Source organism: Homo sapiens, chromosome X, assembly GCF_000001405.40.
Source record: "Homo sapiens chromosome X, GRCh38.p14 Primary Assembly".
Taxonomy (NCBI): Eukaryota; Metazoa; Chordata; class Mammalia; order Primates; family Hominidae; genus Homo; species Homo sapiens.
The window spans coordinates 151,668,533-151,687,336 of record NC_000023.11 but is presented as its reverse complement, the minus strand read 5'-3'; the positions used below and the strand labels follow the sequence as shown (position 1 = coordinate 151,687,336).

The 18,804-nt window shown below is 44.1% G+C and overlaps 1 protein-coding gene across 2 annotated transcripts in view, besides 1 other annotated feature; it reads right to left on the bottom strand.

Annotated features, from left to right (window-relative positions):
* Positions 6,200 to 6,339: a silencer, noted in NCBI's record as "silent region_21057". NCBI's record gives its function as "represses an Ori minimal core promoter by ATAC-STARR-seq in GM12878 lymphoblastoid cells {active_cell/tissue: GM12878}" and the evidence as "EXISTENCE:reporter gene assay evidence [ECO:0000049][PMID:35858748]".
* Positions 10,598 to 18,804, bottom strand: part of PASD1 (PAS domain containing repressor 1) — a 113,065-nt gene continuing 104,858 nt past the window's right edge. Inside the window, exons 12-16 of one of the 2 annotated variants that reach the window (NM_173493.3) lie at positions 16,141 to 16,299; positions 15,558 to 15,764; positions 14,676 to 15,154; positions 13,151 to 13,409; positions 10,598 to 11,340 (exon numbers count right to left, since the gene is read on the bottom strand). In NM_173493.3, coding sequence (NP_775764.2) covers positions 11,194 to 11,340; positions 13,151 to 13,409; positions 14,676 to 15,154; positions 15,558 to 15,764; positions 16,141 to 16,299 — 1,251 coding nt within the window. In that variant the 3' untranslated portion in view covers positions 10,598 to 11,193. The remainder of the gene's footprint in view (positions 11,341 to 13,150; positions 13,410 to 14,675; positions 15,155 to 15,557; positions 15,765 to 16,140; positions 16,300 to 18,804) is intronic. The other variant, XM_011531102.3, reaches the window with a different exon arrangement.

Here is an 18,804-nt window from a genome sequence, read left to right as displayed (position 1 = left end):
GGACAGTTGTTCAATTCAGTGTTCCTGCAGAGAGGACGATCAGTAGAGTTTTCTATTTGGCCATCTTGCTTTGCCTCTGGATTGCAGTTTTAAACTAGTTGGTCAGGGAAGGACTCACTGAGAAGTAACATTCGAGAAGCATTTAAAGGAATAAGGGTGATAGCTGCGTAGATAACTGGGAGAAGAGTATTCTTGTAAAAGGAAATGGTATGTGCAAAGGCCCTGGGACAAAAGTGTGGTTGGCATGTATGAGGCACAAGGAGTGGAGGGAAAGATTTCACACAGGCCAGAGGCAAGGCTCAACCACAGTCTGAGTCCAGTCTTGGCGGAGTGCCTGATGATCCTCCCAGGAATGTCAGAAGATGGGAAGTCCTGTGAGGAGCTGCCACAAGACCCTTTTCCACTCTCCTTTCTATTATGCAAGGCTACCATGAGGCAATTCTTCACCCACTTCCCTGGTTCTAGTGAGGGATGGGACTTTCCACCTAGCCCCCTGCTTTGATCTGAATATTTATGTCCCTCAGAAAATTCATATGTTGAAACCTGATTAACAATGTGATGTGATAGTACTAAGAGGTGGGACTTTAAGGGATGATCAGGCCATGAAAACAGAGCCATCCGAAGACAGCCCTCACCAGACACTGAATCTGCTGGTGCCTTGATCTTGGGTTTTCCAGCCCCCAGAACTGTGAGCAATAAATTTCTGCTGTGTATAAGTTACCCAGTCTAAGGTGTTTTGTTATAGCAGCCCAAATGGACTAAGACACCTCCCTCCCTACCTTAGAGTATAGTTTTTAGTATGTGGTATTGGCTCCTTAGCAACAGAGCACCCACCTCTTGTGTTGCCCATAATCTGATCTTTGGTTTGGCACTGTCCTGTGGAACTAGGGACACAGGAATCTGACAGAAGCTCAGTGTGTCTACATCAAATATCACCATAAAAGAGTGGTAGGAGATTAGCTCAGATGATTCGCCCTTAAATTTTCCATAGCTGGCTCCCTCTTGCCTTTTAGCTTTTTGCTCTAATGTCACAACCTCAAAGAAGCCTTCCCAGATATACTCTGCAAATAGCTCATCCCCTTCTACATTGTATCTCAGCTCCTGTTTTCTTTCCTCCAGAGCATTTGCCCTCTGACATTTTTCTGATTCACTCCTATTTCCTTGTGATCGGTCTGTCTTTCCCACCAGATTATTGGTCTCATGAGGTCAGGGACATTTCTGTCTTGTACATTTCTGTAACCTCAGCTCCCTCCTGCCTTTCTCATATCATTCCACACCATGTAGCATAGGAATTATACATGTATCTTTTTGTTCTGATTCTAAAAATAATATGTTCTCATGGTGGCAATTTTGAAAATGACCACTCACAATTCCACCAGCCAGAGAAAGCCATTATTAAAATGTTTACATATCACCTTCTTATTTTTCACTCTACAAATTCAATTTTACATCATTTAGTTCATACACTGTAAAAAGTTTTTTAATTTCCTTTGTTTTTTTAATCTAATTATACAATTCATAAAATATACATTATAAAATATTCAGGCAAAACACAAATACATGAAATAGAAAGTTAAAATTCACCCATAATCCCCTGATCTGTTGAGAATCACTTTAGTACTTTCCTATTTATCCTTCTGTATGTTTTCTACCCTTCTGTATGTTTTCTTTCACGTACATTTTTTTTTCACACACACAAAGGAATTATGAACTGCCTTTTTGCCCTTAACAATATCTTGAGATCTCATGGGCATCTCTGTCAAGGCAGTACAGAGTATGGCTGAACTAATACTTCTTTACCTATTTCCTTTTTTTTTTTATTATTATTGTAGACAATGCTGTTATGGCCCTGCTTGTACATGCGTCTTGGACATTTGACCATTTTCTCCCTTTGCTTTCATGCTTTGGTTTTCTCCACTTCCAACACTTAAAATATTTGTTATTTTCACCTACCTTTTTATGTTTTCATTAGATAATGTGTAAATTTTTAATCCCTGTATGAAATTGAATTTGGCTTAAGATTTAAGCTAGGGATTAACTGTATTTTTCTAAGTGTTTATTCTGTTTGGGAACTGTTATTTCTCCACCACTGTTGGAGAGAAGGGGTAGCTTAGGAGACTTAATATCCATTAACCACCCTCTCAGTGTCTCTTTCATATGGACAATTAATATTTCCTCAGCCTTTAAGAATCTTCTCCCCTCCCTACTGACCAGAGAGCCACCATTCAGATGTGTCTTTAAAGCTATTTTGGAGCCACAATTCTTCCACACTGATGGAAGCACTAGTTTTACCAGGTGTTTCTTTTTTGTTGAAACCAGTGTAACTTTAGCACAACTTTTATTATCTAGTGGATCAATTACCTTCTCTCCTCTTGTCCCTAATCATTTCTGCTTCTTTCCCTCCAATTTTCTTGTTCATTTTTGCTTATTTATTCTGTTATCTAACCCCTAGAATAGTTTCATAAAGTTACAAAAGAAGAAATACCATTGATATCTTGGTTGCAATTGTATTAAATTTTTGGATTAAAATTGGGAAAACTGGTATCTTTACAATATAAATCTTTTCAATCAATCTCTTGGTGTTAATATTTTCATTTATCTTGTTTAATATTCCTAGGTAAGTTTTCTAGTTTTCTTCTTATAGATTAGATGCTGCACATTTTAAAATATTTTACGCATAGTTGTTTTATATATATATATTTGTTGCAATTGTGATTTCCATTACAGTTGCCAACTTGTTATTGCTAGTTTGTGAGAAAGATGCTGATTTTTGTAAAATTACCTGTATCCATCAGCTTTGCTTAAAAATGTTTCTTAGTTAAACATGTTTAGTTTTCTAAACGATGAGCATACAATTTGCAAATAACGATGAATGTGTCTCCTCCACCTCAGTATGTATGCTATTTGTTTCTTGACATAATCTTACTACAAGATCCTGTCCCTAGCTTTCAGGGCAATGCCTCTTGTGATTCGATTTACACCAACATTTACCATTGGTTATGATACACTGAATGCATCATATTGAGAAAGAATCATTTGATTCCTCTTTCACTACTATTTATCATTTTAATCAGAAATAGAAGTTAAATTTTATTAAATGACTTTTGTTTATTTGCAGTATTTTTAATGGATGTAAAGTATTCCATTTTATGGAGGTTTCAAAATTTATCTAAGAATTCCTCAGGTAATTGGAGGCTCATGCTGTTTCTACTGTTTATTACTGTAATTGATGCTGAAAATGAATATCTTTTTATAAATATTTACCCACTCTTAAAAGTAGAATTATAGATCTCTAGCAATAAAATTACGGGTTTAAAGAATATGAGCCTTTAAGAGGCTTTACTCTGTAGATCTGATTTGCTATACAACAAGGTTGTACCACATCCCAGTGCATAAAAGTGTTCATTTCACTTCACCCTTGCCAGCAGGAAATATCGCAATTTAATAGTCCTTGCAAAATTTATTAATATTTCATTATTTAGTTTGCATTTTTAGTCAAGCTTATATTCTCTCATGTTCATTCACCATTTTCCTTTTATTTTCTGTGCATTAACTGTGTGGCCTCATTTTTCTGTTGCAATCTTAGTGTTTTTAAATTAATTCTCATATGTTCTTTGCACATTATATAGCACATATTTATGCTTTGGTTTGCCTCTTATTGGTGCTAATATGTTTGACATGCAGAAGTTTACTATTTTAATGTAGATCAATCTATTGCTTTGTTTTTCCTTTGTGATTCTTTCCATTTCTTTTAAACGTAGAAAGCCCCATCCACCCATCCACCTATCCATACAGGGATCAGAAAGATAATTCACGCACTTCGTTTCTTAGTTTTCTTGTGGTTTTAGAGTTAGAGGAAACAGGAAATCCAGAGGCCCACAGGTGTGGCAGACCATCTAGCGAGGTGGGGTTTATAAGGTTTCCATAGCTCCTTGGCCTTTGCCATGGCTGCTTCCTCTCCCTGTAATGTGCACCCCGCTTCTCTACCTGGCAACATCCATTTAGAGTTGAGATCCGGTAGAAACCTGTGCTGACACTCCCCTTTCATCTAGGAATGGTCTTGTTGTCATGTTTTACCTCCACTCAACAAGCCATTACATGCTTCTATTAAAGCATCTTCATTTATTTCCTTCTTTTTTTTTCAATAGACATCTAATGACTGCCCACCTTGTTGCTTGAACTCAATCACTGTCCCCACTTTATGATACTTGTAGTTCAGAGGGGAGAGCAAAAGCCACACAGTCTACTCATTCAATCTGTTTCACTGCATGTATTCACTTACCTATTAGACACAACAACATATAAGTACAGATTAAGATGTTAAGATGTGCTGTGTTGTTAGGAGCACTTATGACAAGGAAGGGGATCTTACTTAAAACAAGGAAGGGGATCTTACTTAAAGTGATGTAGTAAGATTTGGACAAGAAACAAGATGCAAACCTATTAGAAATGCCCCACTATAAAAATGTATTATTACTTACAAATTATATGATTAGCTGCTTAGAAAGCTAAAGATGATTAACTAAGAACTGTGTTTAGCAAGACAGATGGAATCAAGCCAATTTTACAAAATTCAGCCCCTTTCCTACAAATCAACAATAACCAGTTAGGAAATAAGATGAGAAAAAAATCCATTTTTGGATCTCACAATTGCAACTTCCCCTTTGAAGAAGTGACAATTAAGCTGATACCTAAAGGGAAAGAGTCAGTCATGTGACGTGAGTTTGAGGCTCGATGTCCAGAAAGGGGGCCAGTGTGGCTGGGACGTAGTGAGCAAGGGTGGGGGTAGTAAGAGGAGATGGTTTGGAGAGGGGCCCTAGAGAACTTTTCAAGGGGTTGACCCTCTTTCTGATAATAATGTAATGCACTGGAGAGTTTTAAGCAAGAGAATGACATGATCAGCTTTATACTTTGTAAAGATCACTGTGATATTGTGTGGGGAATGCACATGTGACAGATGATCATGGGAGTTTTGGGGATGGGAAGCAATAGAGGGATTCCAGATGGATTTTGGAGGCACAGCCAACAAAATGTGGACATTAATTGGATATTTGGAGTCGAACAAAAAGATGTAGTTAAGGATGATCCCAGTAGTATTAGTTTGCTAGGGCCACCTAAGAAAGTACCACAAACTAGGTGGCTGCATTAGTCAGCTTAAGCTGCCACATCCAGGTACCATAGACTAGGTGATGTAAACAACAAGCATCCATTTTTCTCACAGTTCTGGTGGCTAAAAGTCTACCATCAAGGTGCCTGCAAATTTGGTTCTTGGTGAGGGCTCTCTTCCTGGCTTGCAGATGGCTGCCTTCTTGCTGTGTCCTCATATGGCCTTTCCTCTGTGCATGTGTGGAGAGAGAGAGAGAGAGAGACTTCTTAAAAGGACACAAGCTGAACTTGTTGGGTATACTGGGAAGACAAGATGAGGAGACAATACATGCAGACAAGTGCCTTGAACACAGGCAGAGAAATGTGACACTTACTGGAGAGGGATGTGGGAGTCAAGGATTGGTTTTTTGTAAAGACAGAAAATATCGCAAGTTTCTATGGTGATGGGACTGGTCAAGTAGAAAGGGGGATTCATTGATGGTGGAGGGAGGGGCAAGTGGCATGGGATGGGATCCAGAACACAAATGAAGACATCAGCCTTAGAAAGGAGAAGGGATACTTCTGCCATTTTAGCTTGCAGAAAGCTGAGTTCAGTCAGAGGAAAGCATACGAAGGATTAGTGATGGGAGGATGAGGGAATTTCTATTCCATATCTTGTAACATCTAAATTGAGTATTAACAAAGAAAGCAAGAGGGAAATGGAAAGACATGGGGAGTTTGAGGAAAGGGCGAATCACCATTCTGAGAACCGGACTGGAAAGACACCAAACACGGAAGTCCTGAGCAGCGAGATGTGCCTTGGTGAGGCTGAAGATCATGAGCCTACAGCGGTACACAATCTGCCAATGTGTGTGATTTTCTCTAGAAGCACGGAGGTGCATAAGTGCAGACACACAGAGGGCATAGTTGAGTTCATCCAAGGGTGGGAATTTGTCAGTCAATTGTGACAGAAGCAAAAAAGAGAAAGAAGATGATTATATGATGGATCATGGCCTTGGGGTGCTTGAGGAGAATAGAGAAGGAAGATTCATCAGAAAGTTGACCAAGGGCTGGACTGAAACCTTGAGAACAGAATTCTGTATGGCTTAGGGCCTGACCTGGAATAGGTAGTCAGAAAATGTTAACCGAATTGGTCACAAGGGAGGACCCTGGAAAGCTGCAATACTGTGACCATGCACCAGGGGGCAAGAGATGACAAGAAATGAGTTTGACCACACCCAACCTAGGGCTTGAGGGCTGTGTGTCCTGAGCGCCACTGGCCTACCTGACTGCTCCTAGGGCTTTGGGGTGCATGATGCTGCCTACCTGAGCTGGAGCCTGCTGTATCTACCACCAAATTGGTGGCGGTGGGGTGTGTGGGGCAAGGACAGATGAAACCATGAATCTAAGACACAGATAAAGGAACTTCCTTCGTTTCCACCCATCCTGTGCTCTTGTCCATGTCTAGGCGCTGGGCAATGCCCCAGCCCTCGGCAACCCCAGGAAGCTGACTCTGAGTGTTATAGGGGCACCCTGAGATATGGTACCAAGAATCACAATCTATGTGCTGGCCCTGAAGAGCCATCGAACATCTTTCCCAAGGCTGGTACCATAGGTTATAGTCTTAGGGGCTGGCCCTAACCTAGAGGGTTCCTAGAGCTAAGAGCCCTGAGCCTGGAAAAAGTGTCCGTGCCTAAGGAGGAGCATGGGAAGGCTCTGGTGGAGAGAACCCTTGACCACCAGATCTCCCCTGATGCCTCCTGTAAGCCCAGCCCATGCTGAGCCTGGGAACAGAAGAGAATAGAGACTGGACAGTCATCTGTTCATTTATTTACTTCCTCATTAATTCACACTTTCATGTTCCCTTCCCCGTGTTAGTGGAAGAAACAGACAATTATGTCTAAGGTGATAGATGGAAGAAAGGGAGGATTCAGGCAGAGTCTGCGTGTTAGCTTGGGTGACTCAGAGGATGGAGGTGCCTATCCAAAAGAGGAGGCAGTGCAGGAGTTAAAGGAGGGGAACAGTGTGCTGATAAAGACCAGAAGAGAAGACGCAACTGGCCTGAGAAGAGAGAGGGGGAGGTGAATGCAATAAGGGTGGAGATGCACTCTGTGGTATGGCCATCTTCCAGGAACCCACGTTGTCTCTTCATCAGAGCTGAGATGGAGAACATAAGGCTCAGAATGGCAGGGAGACAGGCTGACATTTGTTCTCTCACTCATTCATTGGTTCCTTGATCCAGGAGGGCCTCTGGATTCTAGTCTCACTCTCAAGCAAGTGTCTTATCTTTGTCCCTATGTTCCAGTGAGTCAGCAGAGACAGGGAGCGGTAAAGTGATTTGCCCAGAGTTTCACAGTAGGTGGGTAGCAGGTAGAAGCCTAAACATTCAATGCCTTGCCTCTATTGGCACCATATCCCACATGGAAACTGGTGGGCACTGCCTACTGACAAGTGAGGGGAACAATAAAAGAGCAGCACTGAACTCAGTTCAAGACCCCCATCTTGAGTCTTCTGCTGTCCCATTACCCCTTTCGCAAGCAGTCCTAGGTTGCCTTTCCTAGCAGACAGCATGTCCAAGGTTTGGGGTGTAAATGGCCTCAAGAGCATGGCTCTTACCTAGAGCCCTGAGCCTCTTTCTGTGCTGAAGTCCGCCCCACTCCTAGTCAGCCAAATTTCCAGCCCCTCTCCTAACTACTTTGCCCACATGGTAGAACTGGAAATAGATTGCACAAACACTTGACTGCACCATTCTAAATACTGCAATTTGTCTGTCCTGTCTGCCGACCTTTGCCTCTCTGTAATTGACATGTTTTGATTCTGCAGGGTTGTGGGTTTTGTTTCATCAACAAGGTGACCAGGTGGTTAATTAGCCTTTGACCTTTGGGGTCAGGGCCTCCATCTGGGCAGGAAACATCCATGGCTCCAGGAGTTTTGGGCCTCTTGGCATTTAATTGTCACCGTCAATTCCCCCTACACTTCCCCACAGCCCCCATCTCCCTGCAGTGGTCCTGACTTCCGTGTGCCACAAAGAGATTTGCAGAGGCTAACTGGAGCCACCACTAGGGATGCTCACCAACTTGTGTGCAGTGCTTTGCACTTCATGACTTACACCCTGCTGTCTCATCTACCAAGTTCCCTTGTGCCCCCAGACCCACAGGAAAGTTGTAGTCCCAGGGCCAGAACTGCACCCCCACTGCAGGGCATGCCCGCAGGTCTGACAGTCCCTCATCGAGGAGCTCCTCCCTGAGGAAGAGCTGCAAGGTTTCTGGTTAATGTTCAGAAGCTTAAGAAGGGCTCTACCTAAATAATGAGCACTGGAGGAAGGCTTTCCTGGGGCCTGGGAGCTGCGAACATTCATAGAGGAAACGCTTACCTGCAAGGTACTGTGTTACGGGGGCATCCAAGATCTGTCCCAATCTCTGCCCACTGTAGCTCAGTCTAGAAGGGCAATGACATGTGTACTCCAAGTGAGGTAGAGGCGGGGGTAGGGGTACATGGAGCAGGGCTCCTTCCCAGCCAGGCTTTGCATGGTGGTGGGCAAGGGTTGAAAATATAGAGCTGGGAGGCAAGGGCATAAGATAATACGGAATAGTGACAAATGTAGAAGGGCAAAAAGGCCCAGGACTTCTATGAAACCCAAGGGCTCGGGGGACTGGGGGCAGAGTGCATGACTGGAGGAGATAAATGCAGCTGCAGAGGAAGGGCGAGGCCAGGCCAGGTGGAGAATCTGGATTCTATTTGATAGGCGATGGAGAAGCACTCGATGCTGTCTTCCCTACCCATTAAAATAAACCAAACAAAAATCCCAATTATTTAATATCCCCTAGGGAATATTTAATTTGGTCCTAGCTGTAAACCAGAGTCTTCGTTAAGGTTGATGTGGCCCATTTTAAGAGATGCAGGTGAAGTTTACTGCAGTCTCCATTGAGGCTAGAGACGCATTCCAAGGCCTTGGAGGACCAGCTCCCTCCTTTCACCTCATAGGCAGTTTGGCCTGAAGCTGCAGTTCCCAGTTCCCACGTCTGCCCGGCCCACTTCCTGTCACTCCAGCCCTTCTTCCCCAACCTTTCCTTCCCGGTGATTTTGGCAGAGATGAACAAAAGTCATACCCAAGAACATTCTATAGCTACCTTCCTTTTCATTGTCTCCAAAATACGCGTCAAAACACACTAAAGACACCACAGTGGGCATCAGCCCATGCTGTGGTGTGTGCTGCAAACATGGACTGGAGCTGGTAGTTTTAATAACTCTTCCTTCTTTATTAGAAAATGTGCTTGGGAATAGGAACATTTATGAATGTTTGATGTGTTTAGAAAACATGAATATTCAGCTTTAAGTCTGTGCATGCAATGTTCTATTATGTACATACAGACTGAGCGCTGCTCAGTGAGGACTGCTGTACTGCCCACCTGGGAATGAACTGATGTGGAGGTCGCGGTGGCTGTTTCTGGAAGCTCTGCCATGTGTGGTGGCTTGATCTGGAAACCCAAGATCAAGTCTTTGGCAAGGTAGGTTCTGTCCTGGAGCCTCTTCCCTTGGTTTGCAGGCAGCCACAATCTTGCTGTGTGCTCACAGGACCTCTTGTGTGTGTGTGTGTGTGCGTGCGTACGTGTGTGCGTGCATGCGCCCATGTGCACGTGAAGGGGCTTCCTGGTGTTTCTTCTTTTAAGGGCACTAATCCCGTCATGACAGTCTCACCCTAGTGACCTCATCTAACCTTAATCACCCCTGTCAAAGGCATCATCTTCCAACACTCCGACACTGGGCAGTTACAGCTTCAATATATGAATTTGGGGTGGGGCACAAACATTCAGTCCATAAAACCATGGTAGAGATCACGCTTCCTAAAGAATCTCTGGCTTCTCCTGTGATGTGAGGCCTAATGTGCCTCCTTTATTTTAACTTGCCACTAGAGACTGGGGTCTCCTTTGCTTTCTCCAACCAATGGCTCATTACCTTAAGAAAGGCACACAATGACCTCTGGTTTGGCTATCCGAACCTCTCTCTGCACCATGCAGACAACTGTGAAGATGTCCTTCTTGGTGCTTGACTTGTAACCAAAATTATTTTCCCTCTAGGGGGTACTCCTATCTATTAAAAAGTCTACTGATGGGAGAGAAAGAACCCACATGTAAAAGGTATGGGTACACTGCCCTTTAGTGTTCAGGCTTACTTCTGAAGTAATATGTGAGGCACAAACACCATCCACCCTGAGAAGGTAGCCCCTAGGCCAACTGTTTCAGAGTTCAGTGGGCCTGTGGCTGCCCTTGGTGTCAATGAAGGAGCCAGCATGCCTGAGCTACACGAAAAAAAGCTACACAGCGGGCCTGGGCACACGGCCATGTGGGAAGGCAGCAGTCGCTGGCCTCTGCAAATGTGGCATGGAGCTGAGGTGTGAACAAGAGACTGAGGGGAGCAGGGTCTACAAAAGGGGCCTAACTGTAGGGAACCAACCCTTCACCAGGGACCTTGGCACAGTCAGGTTCCAAACGTCACTCATCAATTCACAAAGTTGCAGTGAACGAAAATGTTTATTAAGCAAGGAAGCCATAATTATTTTAGCTCTGAAGTGCCTCCATTGAGTTGATTTCAGGTTCCCTTAGTTGGAGTCCCATTCTCTCTGGGCTTCTCCAACAAGACTATGGAGGGGAGGCAGGTTGATCATCAGGGTCAAGACCTCGGAATTCTTGTGGCTAAGACAAAACAACCCTCTAGATTTACTAGATTGAAAAGCACTTTGGCATTTTTTTTTCTTTATTCTTTATGTTGAAAACTTTGAGCAGACTCTTGGCAGGCCACCTTCCTGTGGTAGAACATGGATATGCAAAGCTGGGCGGGGCAGACAAGACATCAGATCCAGCTGTGGCTGGCTGCTGTCACACCCTAGCATACTACGGATCACAGGCTGCCTCTACAGCATAACTTCCAAGAAACAGGCTGTGCTTAACAAACAATTACAAACATAACCTATCAGGAAACAAATAAGTCTCTACCCACTAAACCCTACCCCAAGGGACTTTACGCACCTTGAAGGTCCCCTGGCCATGCAGACCTCATTGGCCTGCCCCCTCCCCCCATTTCCCCTCATCACTGGTCATGAAAGTACTGTTAGCACGGCTTATTTGAGTCACGTTGCTCTGCAGGCATCAATCTGGTCTGCTCCGCAGATCTCATCTGGTCTGGCTGGTATGCAGCAGGGCCTTGGAAAGCCTGTGGATCAGGAGGTCCCTCGACTCCTACCTCAGAAACTTGCACCTGCCAGGAAAAAGTGAAACAAGGTGGAATGTTTGCTAGAGTCTGTGGGCCCATTTTTTGGTGGTAGGAGGAATCCTTTAGTTCAAATACACAAGCTGCTGAGAAATACTTCTTTGGAACATGAGCCTGCAAGGTGATGGGAGACGGAGGAGCTACAGAAGATAAGGTTCCTCTCCTCTTCTCTCTCCCAGCAGCATCTTAGCTTAAAGAGCAGCAGAAGCAGACCTGGGCTTTCTCAAAGTTGTCTTAAGGCTCCTGGGTCTGTGTCTGGCCCTCTCTTGTCCAGCTTCTCTGCCAGCCATGGCCGGCCAAGGCCACTAGCCTTGGGTCTTGGGCTCAGTCATTTCCATGCTGACTGATTTGCAGCTACTTGGCCCACTTTAACAAAGTGACAGGAGACGTACCAACCCACACTGGGGTGTGGAGGAGGGAGAAGGAATAGATACAAAGATGGTGTTACAAAGTATGGGCTGAGGGGGTGTTTTCTGGTTAAGGAGGAGGGATTCCTTGGGTTATGTTGCAAAGTGATGCAAGGTTTCAAGGACTGGAACCCAAGGGGGCGGAGAAGACACAGGGAGCAAAAGGAGCAGGGCTGGGCTCTGGACAGACAGCTGGAGGTGTCTGGGGACCTGCAGGCAGAAAGGTGCCAGAAGGCAGTAGGGATAAGCCAGGGCAGGCAGTGAGGGCTGGGAAGCTAAGAAGAGGAGCTCGGGTTTCATCCTGAGGATAGCAGGGAGCCCCTGAGGTTTTGTGGACAGGAAAGCTCCGACTTGGTCCTGCCCTGCTTTCTCCCAGCTGAGCAACCTTTCAGAATCTGACCTTTCCCACTTCCCTGGGCAACGTGCTCAGCCTTGTGCTGGCTTGGTCTCTCAGGACCCCCTCTAGGAGGGAAAGTGCCTCAAAAATAGGCGTGAAAGATGTTCTCAACAAAGTCTGGCTTGGTAATGGAACCATAGGAACCATAGGACCTATTGCCCACTCTGATCTCTCCGTGTGAGCAGTCCCTCTAAGTGACCAAGTTTCTAGCAGTACTGGTGGCACAGTTAGTCAAGGGGTATATGTGAAAATAATCATACATTTGCTTGCCTCAAGTATTTAAACTCCTTTCTGCCTTAGCTTACTGTTTGTTCTGGTTATTTTGGTTTGGTTTTGTTGTTTGAAAAAAAAAAGGTTAGGCTATAATAAGATTTTTAAAGCTAGAGTGAAAACACCTTTTGTAAGTTCCATTCATTAGTGAAATTGTGTGTGGGGGGCCTGCGGGGAGCAAAACCTGCTACGTAACTGCCATCTGGACCAGCTTCCATCCTGGAAACATGGCCACTGCAGATAATCCACAAGGTAGGCCTGCCCTTCCAAATACGGGGTACCCCATAGATGGATACCAAGCACATTCAACAGAGGGGCCCTAAGTTTATTTTTAGTACAAGGAAACATACCTACACTAGGTCTTAGATTTTGTAGCAGAACTAAAGATCCATAAGTCTGAAAGGAGGCTTGGGACCAGACGATGAGCTCAGATTAAAAACATGGCATGGCTCACTTTGCCCATGTAACATAGTTTTGAGAGAAGTTTCAGTCAGATTGCGTCTAAGGTTCACTAGGCCAGCTCACTTTTTTGAGGAACCCTGTAGAGAATATTTTTACTCAGCAATGAGTGCTACCATCATGTGACTAACTGCCGTCAAATGTACTGAGCTTTGAAGTCTGGCTCTCACACACAGCATGCACTTGGGGTGTGTGCCTTATGTGGAAGGGGCCCAGAATCCCTCTTGACCTGCGCTGGAAGGAAAAGGAGGGGGCTGTCCCATACCTGATGGTAGGTGGGTTGGCCGTGCAGGGTGCCCTGCTCATCGCAAGACCAAGTGTTCACTTGGACAACAGGACCGAGTGAATCAGACAACTCTTGCCAAAGCCGGATGTAATCCTGTGGGGTCTCCAGGGTGCTTATGGTTGAGTCTGAAGTTATGGGAAACTGAGGAATGCTGGAAGAAGAAATTGCCTCAGAGTTTGAGGTATCTATCAATGGCAGCTGGTTCACGGGGGGCCCTTGATACGCCTCAGGATAAAAACTGTAAGAGAAGAAAGCTGTTGCAGTGATGTGGATCTGGACATGATAACTGATGAGACACTCACGTGGTCATCAGTAGGTGCTTCAGGCACATTTGGTTTTGGTGGCTACACCACAGGATTCACTTGTTTGTATTCTCACTTTGGCCTGACTAAGATTCAACTTGTCAAAGTAATGTGAATGTAGACACTGAGAGAAATTACAATCCCTTGTCTCACCTGGTTTTATTTATATTACTTGGACAGTCTTGTTCCTGCTACAACTATGCTCTCTGTGGCCTTGGAAAGTCATTTCACCTACTTTGAAAGCACTCAGGGAGCTAATGGCTGAGCAGAGACTGTAAGGCAGATTTCCAAACTCCAAATCCAGTGCTCTCTCCACAACCCTAAGCCTGGAAGTCTTGTGATCAATACAGATTTTTGAACCCCATCCCAGACTCTGAATCTATACTTTCCAAACCCTCCTCAGGTGGATTCTGATGATCAGGTCAAGTGGACAATATGGCCCTAAAGCAGTCTTCATGTCAAAGTCACTGATTCGAAAGCAAGGCCCAGAAGGAAGTCCAGAGAGCTTTAGGAGGCCCGTCTCAGAAAGCTAACATTCATTCAAAACTATTTAGTGGGCCCCAACTATGTGCTAAGCAATCCTTTCATTGCTGAGAAGAACCTTATCTTTCTAGCATTTGGAACTGAAGACCTTATTATTGAGCAGAAATGTGTTCATGTCCCTATATTGCCACTCAGGACTTAGCCTTCATGTGTTCTTGGCTGATCTTAGCAATCTAGCAGTTGTTTCACACTCACTTCCCTCTTACTGTTCATAAATGCCAGGGAGATACCTGCACTTGGCCTACTGCCATCACCAGATTCCAGGAAAGTTGGGGAATGAAACTGGAAGCCCAGAAGTCTTTCAGCTATGGGCACAAGACTTGTCCATAGACACCCTGTGCAAGAGACTGGGCTTGGGGAATCCAGCCAAGTGATTTCAAGGTTTGTGGGCTAATTCCCTAGCATTGAGGCTTCCTTATCTAGTCCTTTCTTCATGGGTACCCCTTTGTTCCATCAATGGATGCTCATCCATGCACCACACATGCAGAAGGATGATGGCCGTGGCCACAGAGAAGGCAAGTTGAGAGCAAGTTGCTATTGATGAGAGGGACGCTGGTGCCACATGGATAGGTCGTCTGTCTGTGATCTCAGGCATGGGATCCAGCCATGAGGGAAAAGCAATAATCATAGCCACTATCACCATTCCATGCATGTCTTACCTTTGACTCTCATCTTCCTGTTGCCCACAGTTTTCATCTTGATAGAAGCCAGAGGGCTGTTGTTCAGCTGCTCTCTGGACAGGAACAATGGGTTGGGCCTGTAAAAATCTAACAGGGTGATTGCAGAGGGGCACAGATACGTCACGTGGGTTTTGCAGGCATATCTGCACCCTCTCATTCCCCACGATGACATTATGCTTCAGTGGCTGCTCTTGCAGCTGCTGCTTCTGCTGCTCCTCCTCTGGCTCTTTCTGTAGCATCTGCCCCTGCCACTTCTTCCGCTCCTGTAGCTTCTTCTTCTTTTGCCGCCTCTGCTCCTGCAGCTTCTTCTTCTCCTGCATTTTCTGCTCCTGCAGCTTCTTCTTCTCCTGCATCTTCTTCTGCTTCTGCACCTTCCTTTGCTCTCTCAGCTGTTGCAGCTGCTCCCGCAGCTGCCGCTGCTGCTCCTTCAGGTGTTGTTCTTGCTGCACCAGTTGCTGCTGCATCGAAAGGCAACAGATAAAAGCACCCTGGTGTCTGCAAGAGCCTCCCAGAAACTTATTTAACACTCCCATTCAATTCTCGCAAAGCAAAAGGTGACAACAGTTGAGCCTCTCTGCACATAGTGATCTGTGTGACTGTCTACTTTAGTTAGACTGGATACTAGCTGCAGCCATGCACCTGGCAGCGAGAGTCTGCTAATCCAGCACATATGTACATGTATGTATACATGGTCTAGCATGTGCATTCAGGTCTAGGTAGCCCAGGATTTTTTACTATCTTGGGCAAATAAATTGCAGCCAAGTGGATAGTCACTACCCCCTAAGGAGAACCAAGTGAGTCAAAGTCCTCAAGAAAACAAAATCCCCTTTCAGATACACAGTTAAAACAGCCTTTCCATACCTGGTTGAAGGCAACACAAGGCTCCTGAAGCTCCCCAGTGTTTTTGAGAGAGTTGGATAAAGATAAACCACAGAAACACTTGACGTCCTTGGGATGTGGGAGAGGCCGCTTCACTTGCCCAGCGTGTTGTTTCTGTTGTTTCTTGGGCACTGCCTCCGAAGATTGGAGATCAGGAATGACAACGTGGCGTAATGTGTTTGGCTGCTTCTGTAAGGACACAGTATCACAAAGGTCTTATTCACAGTCCACACCTTTCCTTAAGGCATAAGACAAGCTGGGCATGGAGCAGGACTGCCCACAGGCAAGCCTACAGGAAGCCTTGGCTATATATAAGCCACATCTACCATTGCCAAGGCCTGGCTGGGCCAATCTCAGCTCTTGTAGCCAGGAGAAAAAGGGCAAAACTCTAAGTCCCTGCTGGAGATCACATTAGATATCCCATATCACCCTGTGGGCAGCAGCTGTCACTACCGGCAGACACCATTGACTAACTCCTTAAGGCTTGCCAAGGTCCCTCTCTCCTCTTCCTTCTGCTACTAATATAGAACTGGTCTCTGACCTGAAACCTAGCATCCTGACTGACCTGAAGGTGATCCATCATCAATTCCAATGCATTCTGCTGGTTTTGGATGGCATCATGCAGCAACCAAGTCCTCTCTTCTAGCTGCTCCTTCAACTTCTTCATCAGTTCCAGTTCCTGGCTAATGATGTCATATGCAACTGGTGATGATGGCTGTAATGGCTGTGGGGAGGAATTACTTATGGTTCATGTATAGCAACACTGGTTTCTCCAAGTCTTACCATCCTGTTTCACTTCAAAATTTCTGAAAGACTGAGAATGCAAATGGTAGCTCTCAAATCCTGATTTCATTCATTACTAGAAAGTTTGAAAAAATGGTTAGAGAATTTAGGAATTCTAGATAAGAAATGGACCACGGAGATCATTTAGCCTGATTCTTTTCCCAAAAAGAAAGAAGTGGAATTGGCCCAGAGACATGAAGCAACATGCCCAAAGTCCTTAGTGGAAGAGTCATGGGCCAGTGCCAAAGTATTCTGCGCCTGGGTCAAATCACAAATGGCAGTCCACCAATAGGGCCCCTGTTAGCAATGCAATAATGAAAACCATCAACTGGCACTTCCTTTGTTCCAGGCACTCTTCTAAGCACTGTACGAAAACTCACAGGTCTGATCTTCACAGAGCCCTGAAAAGCAGGTACTATTATTGTTCTCATATAGTACTTAGATGGACTCTCCTCTAGGTCCTGGAAATCTAATTTTAACTTGGATAACAGCTTCACATCTGGAAAGAAGCAAATGTACAGGTTTATAAAAGTAGAGAGTGTGCTATGGGGCAAATGATGCTCCAAATTAGCTGGAATAGAAGGAATAAGGCAGGTCACACGTAGAGGAGAAACCAGAGTTTTGTACAGGTTCAGGCAGCCGAGGAACTTGGATTTTATTCATCAGTCACCTGGCACTGCTGCTAGAAGATGTGTTCTACAACCCAGATCTTATCAGGGATGTAAGATGCTCAGAACTCAGTTATAAAACATGCCTTCTGGCAGCTGTGCAGAAGATCAAGTGGTGGGAGAAACGAAGCGTGGAGTTTGGGAAAAGTCAATTAGAAGGCTGTGGGAGTAATTCAGGATAGAGATAATAGGGGCATGGAACAATCCAGAGGTAGACGATATAGAGACACATTTGAGAGAAATTAAGAAAATAACAAATGCTGGTGAGGATGTGGAAAAAGAAGAACGCTCATACACTGTTGGTAAGAATGTAAATTAGTACAGCCACTATGGAAAACAGTATGGAGGTTCCTTATAGAACGAAAAATACAACTACCGTATGATCCAGCAAATCCCACTGCTGAGTATACACCAGAAGAAAGGAAATCAGTAGATCAAAAAGGTATCTGCACTCCCATGTTCGTTGCAGTACTATTCACAATAGCCAAAATTTGGAATTAACCCAAGTATTCATCAACAGACAAATGGCTAAAGAAAATGTGTTATATATACAGAATAGAATATTATTCAGCCATAAAAATAATAAATTCACATCACCTGCAGCAACATGGATGGAACTGGAGGTCATTATGTTAAGTGAAATAAGCCAGGTACAGAAAGACAAATATCACATGTTCTCACTCATATGTGAAAGTTAAAAATGTTGATATCATGGAGGTGGAGAGTAGAATGGTGGTTACCAGAGGCTAGGAAGGGAATGGGGAAGAGGGGGATGAAGAGAAGTTGATTACTGGGTACCAAAATACAGTTAAACGTTAGGAACAAGTTCTAGTACTCAAGTAGGAAAATTAGAGTTAAAACAATCTATTGTATATTTTAAAATAGCTAAAAGAATTGTAATGCTCCCAACACAAAGAAAAAACAAATATTTGAAGTGATGGGTATCCTGATTACCCTGACTTGATCATTACACATTGTGTATATGTATCCAAATATATACATGTATCCAAAACTATGTACAACATAATATATATAGTGTATATATATACACTATACATAGTATATATATAATATGAAAACCATCAATTGGCACTAAACTATGTATACTATATAGTGTATATATATATATATATACACACACACATATAGTATATATAATATGTACAACTGCAATATATCAAAAATAAACAAAATTCTAAGAAAAAGATTAACATCCACAATATCTTAAAGTAAAATAAAGTTTAAAAAACAGTAATAAAAAAGAGGCTGAGCTGGGTGTGGTGGCTTGCATCTGTAATCCCAGGTACTCAGGAGGCTGACGTGGGAGAACTGCTTGAGGCTTGAGACCAGCCTGGGCAACAAAGCAAAAACCCCATCTCTGAAAAAAAAAAAAATCTCTTTTTTTTTTGTTGTGTCTCTGCCAGGCTTTGGTATCAGGATGATGCTGGCCTCATAAAACGAGTTAGGTAGGATTCCCTCTTTTTCTATTGATTGGAATAGTTTCAGAACGAATGGTACCAGCTCCTCCTTGTACCTCTGGTAGAATTCAGCTGTGAATCCATCTGGTCCTGGACTTTTTTTGGTTGGTAAGCTATTAATTATTGCCTCAATTTCAGAGGCTGTTATTGGTCTATTCAGAGATTCAGCTTCTTCCTGGTTTAGTCTTGGGAGGGTGCATGTGTTGAGGAATTTATCCATTTCTTCTAGATTTTCTAGTTTATTTGCGTAGAGGTGTTTATAGTATTCTCTGATGGTAGTTTGTATTTCTGTGGGATTGG